This window comes from Homo sapiens, chromosome 2, assembly GCF_000001405.40.
Source record: "Homo sapiens chromosome 2, GRCh38.p14 Primary Assembly".
Lineage (NCBI taxonomy): Eukaryota > Metazoa > Chordata > Mammalia > Primates > Hominidae > Homo > Homo sapiens.
This window is the reverse complement of record NC_000002.12, coordinates 85,706,364-85,718,613: the sequence shown is the minus strand read 5'-3', so window position 1 is coordinate 85,718,613 and position 12,250 is coordinate 85,706,364. Positions and strand designations below refer to the sequence as shown.

At 47.3% G+C, this 12,250-nt stretch overlaps 1 long non-coding RNA gene across 1 annotated transcript, besides 2 other annotated features; it reads right to left on the bottom strand.

The window, feature by feature from the left end:
* Nucleotides 1-1,306: 1,306 nt before the first annotated feature.
* LOC124907851 (uncharacterized) lies at nucleotides 1,307-3,353 on the bottom strand. Its single transcript, XR_007087118.1, has 2 exons — nucleotides 3,313-3,353; nucleotides 1,307-1,917 (listed from the first exon to the last, which is right to left on the bottom strand). It is a non-coding gene; the product is annotated as an uncharacterized LOC124907851 (long non-coding RNA).
* Nucleotides 6,916-7,416: an enhancer, noted in NCBI's record as "H3K4me1 hESC enhancer chr2:85938321-85938821 (GRCh37/hg19 assembly coordinates)". NCBI's record gives its function as "activates a minimal SCP1, AML or CMV promoter by ChIP-STARR-seq in primed H9 embryonic stem cells {active_cell/tissue: H9 hESC(primed)}" and the evidence as "EXISTENCE:reporter gene assay evidence [ECO:0000049][PMID:30033119]".
* Nucleotides 7,417-7,917: an enhancer, noted in NCBI's record as "H3K4me1 hESC enhancer chr2:85937820-85938320 (GRCh37/hg19 assembly coordinates)". NCBI's record gives its function as "activates a minimal SCP1, AML or CMV promoter by ChIP-STARR-seq in primed H9 embryonic stem cells {active_cell/tissue: H9 hESC(primed)}" and the evidence as "EXISTENCE:reporter gene assay evidence [ECO:0000049][PMID:30033119]".

The following is a 12,250-nucleotide window of genomic DNA, read 5'->3' as shown; positions in this document are numbered from 1 at the left end:
CACTCCAGCCTGGGCAACAGAGTGAGACACTGTCTCAAAAAAAAAAAAAAAAAAGGGACCAGGACAGGACAGGCAGCTGGGAGAGGGAGAAGAGAAGCCCACAGAGGTAGGTGGCTGTCCCTATGAATAGGACAGGACAGGGCAGGCAGCTAGTAGGATTTTTATCAATCAGATGACAGCAGACAGAGGAGAGAAAGGAATTAAGAGAGAATAAAAAGTGGAAATTTTTTGGAGAATAGTGTTTGTCGTCAAAGGACATTCAATAGATCCAAGTAAAAGCTGATAGAATGTCCTCCATCAGACAACCCTCAGAACATGAACCACCCGTGGTATGTCTTGAAAATATGGAGATTCCATGCCCATAGGTGTCGCAAGTGCACTGCAAGCTCTAGTGGCCCCTTCACATGGTCGTGATGGGGAATTTGAACATCTATGACTGTTCTCTGGCAAGTGGTGGTCGGGTGTCTAAAGCGGGGAAGGATATCTTTTCTGAATCTGTTGGGCTACTGACAGGGCTTCAAACAGGTACTTCTAGGAAGTTTGAAATCAATATTTGCCCTTCCGAAGTGAAAAGATTTGTAGTGCACACTTGCCTGCTTGACTCATTTGCATGGCAGCCCTTTCCTCCTAGAGCATGGAAAGGTTGAAATGGATTCGCATCTGTTCTTAATTACAGAGGCCGAGACAGATGTTATCTTACATGCTAGGGAGGGGCACTCACCAACACTGTGCTGTCGACAGCAACAATAACTCCCAGGCCTTTTGTGCAATATATTAATTTGGAAATTATTGACAACTCCTATCTTGCGTGACGTAACGTGGCAAGTGTACACAAAGTCTTCTTGAGTTGTCTTCGTCACTAGCCAGCCTCATGACTCTTTTCTCCCTGTGTCTGTACTTCCCAAGACAGCATCTCTGTTCCTCCCGTTTAATTGCACATTGGCATTGAAGAAGCCATTCACATCCAACACTGCAAGCTGTCATAGACATGCTCTGAAAAATGCGTTTTTAGAGTCTTTAATATACTCACGTGCACCGCCAATCACCAAAAACAGAGCAGGCAATGTTTCCCATATCTATTTGACCACCGGTAAGATAAGGGCCTCCCATGAGCTGAAGGGAAGCTTCCTACTTAAAGCAGGGATTAAAGCATTAAACAAAAGAGTGACTGAGGAGGGCTCAGAACCATGAGGGAGGCTGCGGGGGGCAGCCCTGTGACACCACCCGTGGAGGCCGTCTGATTCCTGACCAGCAGTTTTAAAAGATGTATTTATATATAGTGTGCATGCATATGTGTGTGTTACACTTTTAATTGACAAATAAGAAATGATATTTATTTATAGTTTACAACATGATACTTTGATATACGTACACACTGTGGAATGAGTAAATCAAACATATTTATCATCCCACATACTTAACCATTTTTTGTGGTGAGAACATTTAAAATCTACTGTCTTCGACTAGCTTATTGAAGTGGGGCGAAAAAACTAAGAAAATAAATAAATAATAATGTTTAGAATCTACTCTCAGCAATCTTCAAGTATATGATATGTTATTATTAACTGCAGTCTCCATGCTCTACAAGAAAACTCCAGAACTTATCCTCTGACCAGCAGTTTCTGGTTGACACAAAGACCTATTTCCAGAAGTTTCTTGAAGATACCATCAGGAAAGTAAATAGCAAATAGAATGGTTTGCTCTGTCATTATAGAAAGTAAAGATTGAAGGTCTCTCGGATGACCCAGCCATCAGCTGCAGTTCCCTGGCCTTATTCATTGCGAAGTCCGAAGCGGAGCCCCCATGTGTCAACACGTCACCACCACCATGTCTACGTAGGGCTGGAAACCGTTCCCCGCAGTCCTCTTCCTCATGCTCCCAGGTTAGAGTTTGCCAACAAGAGGATCTTGCACAGGACTTGGAAGGCAGAAGGGAAGCAGAAGTGATTGTTCTCAGGGGTTAGTAAGAACGGACGTGGCGCTTCATCAGATGCAGGTGCATGGCCGACTTCTAAGAACTCCCATGCCTGTCACTTCTTCCCCCACACCCAGGATTCAGGTTGAGGCTGTCAAGATGCAGAATGGCTTCTGTGTCCTGACCTCCCCTGACCCATGCGGCTGCATAAGGAGCTCCCTGCTCTCTCTGGCTCTGAGCTCCAGCTTCCACTCAGCCCCCAGCCTCACATGGGCCTCTCCTTACTCAATCCCCACCCCCAGTTCAGCATGGACCCATGCTGGAAACCTGACCCCCTTTTTAGGGCTCCTCAAGGCCTCTGTGTGTGCAGTGGACTTCACAGGAGGCTTAGAAGTTACCAGGAGAGTTTTGTCACACACCAACACAAATGATATTATTACACATTAGACACATGATTCTTAAAAGTTGCTCAGTCCTGTTTCTCCACCATTCCTCAGTATCAGGTCTGCTTCCTGAGCTCTGCTAAGACAAAAGCCATCTACTCTAGGCTGTAAGCATCAGCGGAGTGAAAAACTGCCAGGCGCCTTGAAGCTTGCATCTTTCTTTTCTCCATTCCCCACCAGTCTCCATAAACAGAAAGGATTAGTGGAGAGTAATTTTCCTACCCCTCCAGCCTTACTCTTCCTTAGAAGGAATATGTTGCTACACCTTCTATTCTTTTCATTCATATTCTCCCACTATACTCGAGTTTGTGGATGTCATTGACTCTGAAAGATTATATTTTAGGGTGGTATGTGTATTCATTATCAATTGCTGTGTAACAAACTGCCCCAAAACTTAGCTGCCTAAAACAATAAACTTTTATTTTTTTTCTCTGTTTCTGCAGGTCAAGAATTATAATTAAGAGTGACTTAGTTGAATGGTTCTGGCTCAGGGATTCCCATGAGATTGCAGTCAAGACGTCAGCCAGGACTACAGTCCTCCAAAGGCTTGCCTGGGTTGAAAGGGTCTGCTTCCAAGATGGTGCCCACTTGAGGCTGCTGGAGAGAGGCCTCAGCCCATCACCACGTGGGCCTCTCCACAAGGCCACTTGAGCATCCTCACGAGTGTCAGCTGACTTTCCCCAGAGTGAATGACACAAGAGAGAAAACAAGGCAGAAGCTACAATGCCATTTATGATCTGATCTCTGAAGTCACATACCATCACTTCCCCTGTATTCTGTCTTCAGAAGTGAGTCACTGGCCAGACACAATGGCTCACACCTGTAATCCAAGCAACTTGGGAGGCCGAGGCAGGAGAATTGCTTGAGGTCGGGAGTTCAAGACCAGCCTGGGCAGCATAGCAAGATTTCATCTCCACAAAAAATTTTAAAATTAACCAGACAGCGTGGTGCATACCTGTAGTCCCAGCTGCTCAGGAGGCTGAGGCAGGAGGATCACTTAAACCTAGGAGGTCGAGGCTGCAGCGAGCTATGATTGCACCACTGCACTCCAGCCCGGGTGACAGACCAAGACACTGACTCTAAAATAAATAAATAAATAAACAATCAAACATTTAAAAAGAAATGAGTCACTAAGTCCAGACCAAACTCAAGGGGAGGGGAATTAAGCTTCACCTTTTGAAGGGAGGAGTATCAAAGAATTTTCGGGCATAGTTTAAAACCACCACAATGCGAACAGTACAGGAAGTTCTTACTTAACGCTGTCCATAGGTTCTTGGAAATTGCAACTTGAAGCAAAAGAACGTATAGTGAAACGAATTTTTTTTCTTATTAACGTTATAACAAAATGATAGTGAATGAAATGACACTATTTGAGGACCCACTGTATGCCATTTCACTTGAAGTTGCAGTTTCCAGGAGCCTATTGACAATGTTAAGTAAGGACTTACCATACAGGACAAGGAATCAAAATACCTAGTTTTGTTTTGTTTTGTTTTGTTTTGGTTTGGTTTTGGTTTTTTGAGACAGGGTCTCACTCTGTCACTCAGGCTGGGGTGCAGTGGTGTGATCATGGCTCACTGCAGTCTCGACCTCCCCGGCTCAAGTGATCCTCCCACCTCAGCCTCTTGAGTAGCTAGGACTACAGGCACATGCCACCACGCCCAGCTAATTTTTGTATTTTTTTTGTAGAGACAGGGTTTCACCACGTTGGCCAGGCTGGTCTTGAACTCCAGGGCTCAAGGGATCCGCCTGCCTCGGCCTCCCAAAGTGCTAGGCTTACAGGGGTGAGCCACCGCACTCAGCCTACCTATGTTTAATTTTCCTTCTAAACACTGGGGGACTTGGGCATATCCCTTCACCTCTCTAGATCTATTTCCCCATCTGCAAAATGACAGGATTGACTTGGATGACTGCTAAGGGTTCATTTTCAGTTAGCATGTGTCTCAATGTTCCAGCACTCAAGACCCTAGGCCTGGACCCCAGAGCTCAGGCAGCTTTTCCTCCACGCCCCCACCTTCCCAGCAGATCTCGTTGGCTCTCAGCCCCAGGTATAGCCACCACACATCAGCTCCTCCAGGTGCTTCTTCCAGGCCTTGTAGCCTCCTCTGTCCCAGTGGTGCCCTGCCCTGGCAGCACACTGGGATCACTTGTGGAGCTTCGAAAACTCCCTGTGTCCAAGCCACACTGCAGTTCATCAGCTTGTCCAGGGTCGGGACCAAGTACCAGCAGGTGCAACAGCTCCCGTGACTCCAAGGCCCAGCCAAGGTTGAGAACCACCACTCTAGCTTGAGTGGCCCTTCACATGTGGAATCGTTTCAACAAATAAAATAACACTGCCCATGGCTGAGTACTGATTTGCTCTTTTCCTTTGAGGTATATGCATTTGAGAGCACTCACACTGCAGAGGGTAGAGGTTTTAATTTACAGTTAATTATGTTAGGGGGCTGATTTCTCTAGGAGACCATTTTGCCTAGTATTAACCTAACAGAGATATTTAGAGGGGTTTAGGGAAATTTTTTGTGACCAGGACAGAACTTTTTATAGACTTCTTTCCCTGGCTCAGGATTTCTCATCAAGGTATTGTTTCTGTGGGAAAATGGATTCAATTTTTATCTTTTTGACTTACACCACCTTTTCCTAGAATATAACCTGCTATAAGTCTGAACAATGCCTGCATTTTTTTTCCTTCTTGCTTGTGCATGTGTATGTGTGGGTGTGAGAAAAGTCAACATTCTCCAGGACAAGGGAGAGCCCAGCGCCGAGAATGATGCCAGGCTTGGAGCTCCCAGGCCAGGAGCCGCTGTGGAACGTGGGTGTGGGGCCTGTGTCAGGGCTGAAAGACGTCAGCTGGGCTCTCCTGACCCTCAGCTGAGTGCCACTGTGTGACCAATGCCCCAGTTTACACAGACTGTAGGGTTTCCTGGGACACAGGACATTCAGTACTGAAACTGGGATAGTTCCAGAAAACCAGGATGGTTGTGGCTCTTTGAGCACAACCCCCCATCTTTACTGCCTGAACACCCAGTGGGGATAGGACAGAGCTGCTCTACTAAGGGTGCTGGGTGGCTTCACCAATAGGAACAGGGGTAGCTACACAGCTTCTCGGGCCATGAGGCTCTGAGATGCCAGTTCCCAGAGCCCACGGCCCAGGAAACAGAGCAAGCTCTGCCACATTGACTTCTATTGGCAATCTCCAAACATCTGAGCTCCTGTCATGGAGAAAAGGGGAATGACCTGTCAGCTGTTCCTAGGCCAGTGATTTGAAATCCTGGGTGCATATGGGAATCACCTGGCCAGTCCCACCCCCCCGAGATTCTGATTTCACTGGGGTGCGGTGGGGTCCAGGTTCACACACATATACACTTCTAGACTTTTTCCTTATGGCCTCTTTCTAGGCAGGACATTTCCATCTTGGCCATGAAAACTTTGTCACTCCTAAACCTCTCTGTTTCTCTTCTTGAGGTTACCTTGAGCTAAATGGCTTCCTAGAGAAGCCAGACTTTTTCACTGTATCAGTGGCAGTTGGGTTATAGATTATCTTCAGGGGAAATTTTAGTTTATAAAAGCCCAAACCAGTCGTCGTTATCTAGGAATGAACTGTACAGCTCGTGGGTGTGGGTCCTTGTGTTGTCCCTAATCCGACCCCACTCCTTCCGGCTCTCCCCTGAACTCCCTGCGAGCCCAGCTTCAGGAGGTCTCCGTGGCCCCATCCTCCACTTCTGGTTCCACCCAGTCTCCTGCCTCCCATATTTCCCTTTTTTCTTTAGGTTCCCTCTTTGGGACGCAAGAACTGCCCTTGCCCACAGCTGGAGGGGAAGTGGAGGGCCCCTGCGTTGTTCCTGTGGGCCTACCGCGCGGCCAAGCCCGCTAAACTAGGGGGCGAATCCCCGGCCAGTCTGGAACAATCACATTCTCTTTCTAGGATCTGGGGCTGAGACACAGGGTCTCTGGTTAGCTGGCTGCATGAGCTCTATATCCAGAAGATCACAAGGCTCAGGGCCTGGGGCTGAGGCACAGGGTCTCTGGTTAGCTGGCTGCATGAGCTCTATATCCAGAAGATCACAAGGCTCAGGGCCTGGGGCTGAGGCACAGGGTCTCTGGTTAGCTGGCTGCATGAGCTCTATATCCAGAAGATCACAAGGCTCAGGGCCTGGGGCTGAGGCACAGGGTCTCTGGTTAGCTGGCTGCATGAGCTCTATATCCAGAAGATCACAAGGCTCAGGGCCTGGGGCCACCATCTGAGGAAACACATTTTGAAACCATGAGCAGCAATGATCAGGCAGGGTCTGCAGGCGCACAGCGGAGACGGGCAACCAGACAGGCCGGAGAGAAGGTCTGAGACAGTGACTGACAGCCCAACTTTGTCCCCAAGGAATGTCCCCATTCTTGTCCTCCTGGAGGCTGGGCTCTGAATCCTGCCCTTGGGCTCTGTGACATCCTCACCCTCAGTCCCTCTAAAGCTAAGCCAGCATTCACAGATTCATGTCGCCTGCCACCAACCAACCCCTGGGAGAGTCTCCAATGCTCACCACTCTCATAGGCACAATTTCGGATCCTAAGTCTGGGCCCTTCTGGCTCCCATGAGATCCCCTGAGTCCCTTCCTTTCCGGCTCCCTCTCAGCTTCAGAAAGGGCTAGCACCCTCAGCCCCTGCGGTCTGTTCCCCTAGGAGTTAAAGGAGAGATGGCCTCTTCCCTCCTGCGGGTTTCCTCCCACCACTTCCAGAGAACCCAGAGTTCTGGCCGGCATCTCCGGCTCCGGTTCCCATGGCAGAGCCTCTTCAGCACCACCCCCGTCATCCTCCTTCTGGAAACATCTCGGGACACACTTCAGTGGAACACCCTTGAAAACAGAGTAAACAGTGGTTTCCTCACATTCCTGTCAGCCTTTGTTTTTCGAGACTGAAGAGTCTAAACTGGAGAGTCCCCCACGCCGCCCTCCCCGCACTCCTTGGCACTGGCCTTGACCTTTGCTGGTTGTGGGTTGGGGAGCGGTCAGGGTTGCTGGGCTTGTACAGCAGTTTGAGGTCGCCTGTTAGGATCTCATGTCCTCCTCCATGGTCCCCACTTGACCCCACTCTGGCCCTGGGGGAGAATCAACGTCAAGTGACAAAGCCAGAAAACTCAACAGAGGCAGAGTGGCCACCTCCCAACCACTGCACTGCCCTGCCCTGCCTCCTCCTGCCGCAGCCCAGACAGCCTCCCAGGGCGTCTCCTGCAGCTGTGCCCCGACTGTCCCAGCCCTGGTAGGGCCGAGGGACCTGGCTTCTCTTCTAGGATGTGGTGTGGGCCTCAGGGGAGAGCTAGAACAATGCTGGGCCCCTTATCAACAGCTAATCCCATCCTGGTCAGCTCCTGGACTTCCCTTCTCAGAAACACCAACTCTTATTTTAACACATGGTGTGTTCGCTTCTGAGTCACCTAAGCCCTAATTGTGTGTGGACAGAGCAGTGGCAAGCCCTCCCTAATGCCGTGGCCACACTCTTCCAGGGAACAAAGAGCTAACACCTTCAAGTCCACCAGGAATGGGCCTGGCTTCCTTCTGCTCTTGTCACAAGCCCTGGGTGCCATAACGTGAAGGCACTGGAAGCAGAGACGCTGGAAATCATCAAATCCTACCCCTCACTCACAGCTGAGTTCACCGAAGCCTAAAGAGGGCCCGGCCTTGCTCAAAGTCACACAGCAAGGTCAGGACTCCTGGTCCAGGCCATTGCTTCTGAGACACACACCTTTCAGAGGTGTGTGTGTGAGGAGGCAGGAGGAAAACCCCAGGAAGTTTGCTTTTGTTGGAGTTTATTTCTATTTCAGTTTCCATTCTGTACTTGCCCAGAGGGGTGTTTGTCCTACCTCGGGGCTCAGCTCAGCAGCAGGAGGGGTTTCAGGCACCTCAGTCATCAGGATTATCTCTACCCAGAAGCAGACTATCAGGAACTCCCGTGTCAGAACCTCCAAGTGTCCCAAAGCGTGGCACTTCCAAGAGAAAGTGCTAAGTGGCTAGATAAATGGCTAATAACAAGAGTTGGTATGGTGTGGGGTGGTGGGGGGACCCCAGGCGCTGGCCCCATCCAGGGACATCTACAGCCCTGGAAACTGAGAACTGGGTCCAAAATGGCCTCCCACAGGCCCCAGGTGGTGCTTTACCACCACTCTGTTCCGAGAGTCTCTGAGAAGGATTTCTATCAAAGCCAAAAGGGGTTGAGGCTAATCCCCAACTCACCTTGCATGTGTCCCATGACTCAGCCCACTGCCCCATGTGCATTCTCATTCATCAGAAGGTGGGCTCCAGAGGCAGTCTGCGTGGGGTCAGAGCCCAGCTCCGCTACTTACGGGCCATGTAGAGAAGCGAGAGAGCCTAAGCGATGCACTCACTCTGTAAATGTGTGCAGTAACAGACCCTTCCTCCCAGGGATGGTTTAAGCATTGAAGCATTTGGAACAGTGCCTGGCATGTGATAGCTTAGATATCATCATCATCATCATCATTATCATCAATCATCATCACTATTATTATTTCAAGCACTCAACAGATACAATCTGCTTCCTCTGGATCCCTAAGTATATCCCTTAAGGGCCAGCATTGTGGAAGCAGGAAATGCTAAGTCCTGTGATCCTCAGGACCACGCCGGGTGCAGCTTTGGGGATCGCTATAAGATAGACATAAGCCAGCAGCTATGATCAGAACATTCCAGAACAGGAACAGAGGGTTTAGACAGTCTACTGTGTTCTACGATTCAGCCAAAACATCAAATGAGCATTTGCTGTGTGTGTGTTGCTCAACATTTGCCCAAACACTTCCCTTCTTTCTACTTCTGTGTCATGCTAAAGGTAGAAGGCAGACAGAAGTTTTCATTTGATAAAGAGACTGAAAACAAGAGAATTTGAGCTCTGGCCCCAGAGAGTTCCTAGCTTTTGATAATCTAATATCTGACACACTTTGTCATGTCTTTTTAAAGGATTTTTACTTACATATTTTTTATTGTAAGCTTGTTTTAGTTTTTAGCTTTGAAATAATATTAGACTTTGAAAACACTGCAAAAGTGGTACAAAGAATACTATATACCCTTCACCCAGCTTTCCAAAAAAAGCTGCACCACTGCACCGTATAATTATCCTAATTCTCACAACCAGGATAGGAACACTGATACAATACTGTGAACTGATCTCCAGACTTTATTCAAACTTTGTCAACTGTCCCACAAATGTTCTTTTTCTGTTCCAGGATCCTGCATTGCACTGAGTTGTCTCATTCAATCTGGGACAGCTTCCTCAGTCTTTGTCTTTCATGATGGTGCCACTTTTGAAGAGTGGTGGCCAATTATTTTGTAGAATGTTCCTCACTTTGGGTGTGTATAGTGTTTACTCATTATTAGATTGTAGTTACGCATTTTTGGCAAGAACACCACAGAAGGGACAGTGAGTCCTTCTCAGTACATCACAGCAGGAGGCACAGGATGCTGGTACATCTTGTTCCTGGTGATCTTAACTTTGATCACTTGGAAAAGGTGGTACCTACCAGACTGGTCCACTGCACAGTTATTATGCTATTGTTCCCTTTGCAATTAATAAGTCTCTTGTGAAGAGGCTTTGAGACTATATAAATATTTTGTTTCTCATCACATTTGCAGCCATTAACTTCAGTGTTCATTGATGGTTCTTGCCGGCCACAGAATCATCTATGAACACTGAAGTTAATGGCTGATATATATACCTAATATATATACCTATAACACATATATATAGTAGATAAACTGTTATAGTTATATATGTATGTGTATGTATATATAGTTATATCTATAACTATAACTGTTTTTATATCTACCTAATATATATACCTATAACAGTTTCTATATCTACCTACGTATATAAACCATCCATTCACACCAATTCCTCTGATTCTAATCCAGCTCCATAGGGGGTATTCTAACCTTCCCCCTTTCCATATTTGTTATGCTTTTTCAACAGTGAAAAACCTGGTTCTCACTCTCTGCCACATATTTACTTATTTGATTAATTGTGGAATGCACTTGAGATAGTTTCAGGATTTTGGATGCCTTTTTTATGTTTGTGTAATTTTAGTCAATAAATGTTGTTAAGGTTAAAGGTGAAGCAAGACAGACTTGGTTAAGTGTGTAAACTCTGGAAGTTGGAAGTTATTTAATCTTTCTGAGTCTCACCTTCCTTATCTGCAAAATAGGAATAATAACAATGTGTAGCTCATAGGAGTGCAGTGAGGATTGAGGGAACGTACGTAAAGTGTTTAGCACATAGGAAACCCTAAATAAATGGTACACATTTTTATGAGCTATTGTTTAGGAAATAAAGTGAAATTTTCTATGAGTACCCAATTGTTTTAATAAAAAGTTGACCCATATATCAGTTGATGTGAGGGAAACAAGAAAGAGGTTGGAAGCGCTGAAGCTTTCCATACAATTTCTCTTTCCACATAGTTATGTGCCACACAATGACGTTTCAGTCAAAGATGGACTACATATATGACAGTGGTTTCATAAGATTATGATACCATATTTTTACTGTACCTTTTCTATGTTTAGATATGTTTAGACACAAATACTTACTAGCATGTTACAATTGCCTAGGGTATCAGTACAGTAACACCCTGTAGGGGGTTGTAGCCTCAGTGAAATAGGCTATACCATATAGCCTAGGTGTGAAGTAGACTATACCATCTAGGTTTGTGTGATACTATCTAGGCTTGTGTGAGTACACTCTATGATGTTTGCACAACGATGAAATCACCTAAAGACGCGTTTCTCAGACCGTATCTGTATTTCTGTGGTTAAGTGATTCGTGACTTTACGCAGTTGTAGAAGCTGATCATTTTCCTCCACTAGGTGGCAGCATATGTGTCGTTGCCTTTAAGGCGGGTTCCTTATGAGACGACCCAAGCATGTTGGAGAAAGAAAACAACTTCGGAATTAGGATCCTCATACAAAATGTGAGAAATAATCCACAACTTTAAAAAAAGAAAAGAAATGCCCCATCCCTAAGCACACTTTTGAAATACCCACAGTGAATTCAAGCAAATCTGCCCAAACCTGGTCCAGGCCGCAGGACACCTGCTCCTGGTGGGTGGGTCTCAGGTCCCCCAGGACTTGGAATGTCATCCCTGGGGTGGAGGGTGGACAGAGCTTATTGAGGTCCCAAGCCAGGCAAGGAGCTGGGCAGGTTCTCGGGCTCTGCCCCTTCACACTCAGATCTCCCCGACCCAGGGCCTGGTGGGGCTTACAAAGACGCACAAAGTCATGCGTGCAGGCTCTCTATCTGGGGCTGGAGAAGCAAGAGGCTCCATTTGAAGCAAGAAACAGAGACCCACTCAACATGGCTAAAAAGGGGGGTGAGAGGGGGGCAATGGGGCCCCACTGTGGGACCTTGTGTCCATCTAACCACAGAATAAGAGGCTCAGACACAGGAAATCAAGATGACGGCAGTCACTTCCCCTGTTAGTGTCCTCATACTACCAGTCCTGCTCCCATGAGTGGCAGGAGAGGGCAAGAGGCACCCACGGGGGGCGTGCTGGAAGTCTGTTGCAAGAACCCCAGGGTTTTCGGCCTGAGCAAGGGGAAAGCATATCTCACTTAGGTCACCATTTTTCTACGGGTAAATCTCCATCCAGTTCCTGATTCTGTCAGAGACATCTCTTCCTATTTGGAAGTACCACAGTGACAGTACCCACCTGCCAGCACAAGCTGTGCTGGGAATTTGGCACTGCCTATTCCTCTGCCTATCTTCTTTTGGAGAATTATCTGGCACCTACTTTGTACAGTCTTGGTGGAGAGTAAACCCAGCATCCGCCATCCCATTCCTAAGACAAAAGGGTCTTCCAGGTGCCCTGCCGCTGCCTGACTTTCCTCTCGCCATCTTACAGCAACCAAAGG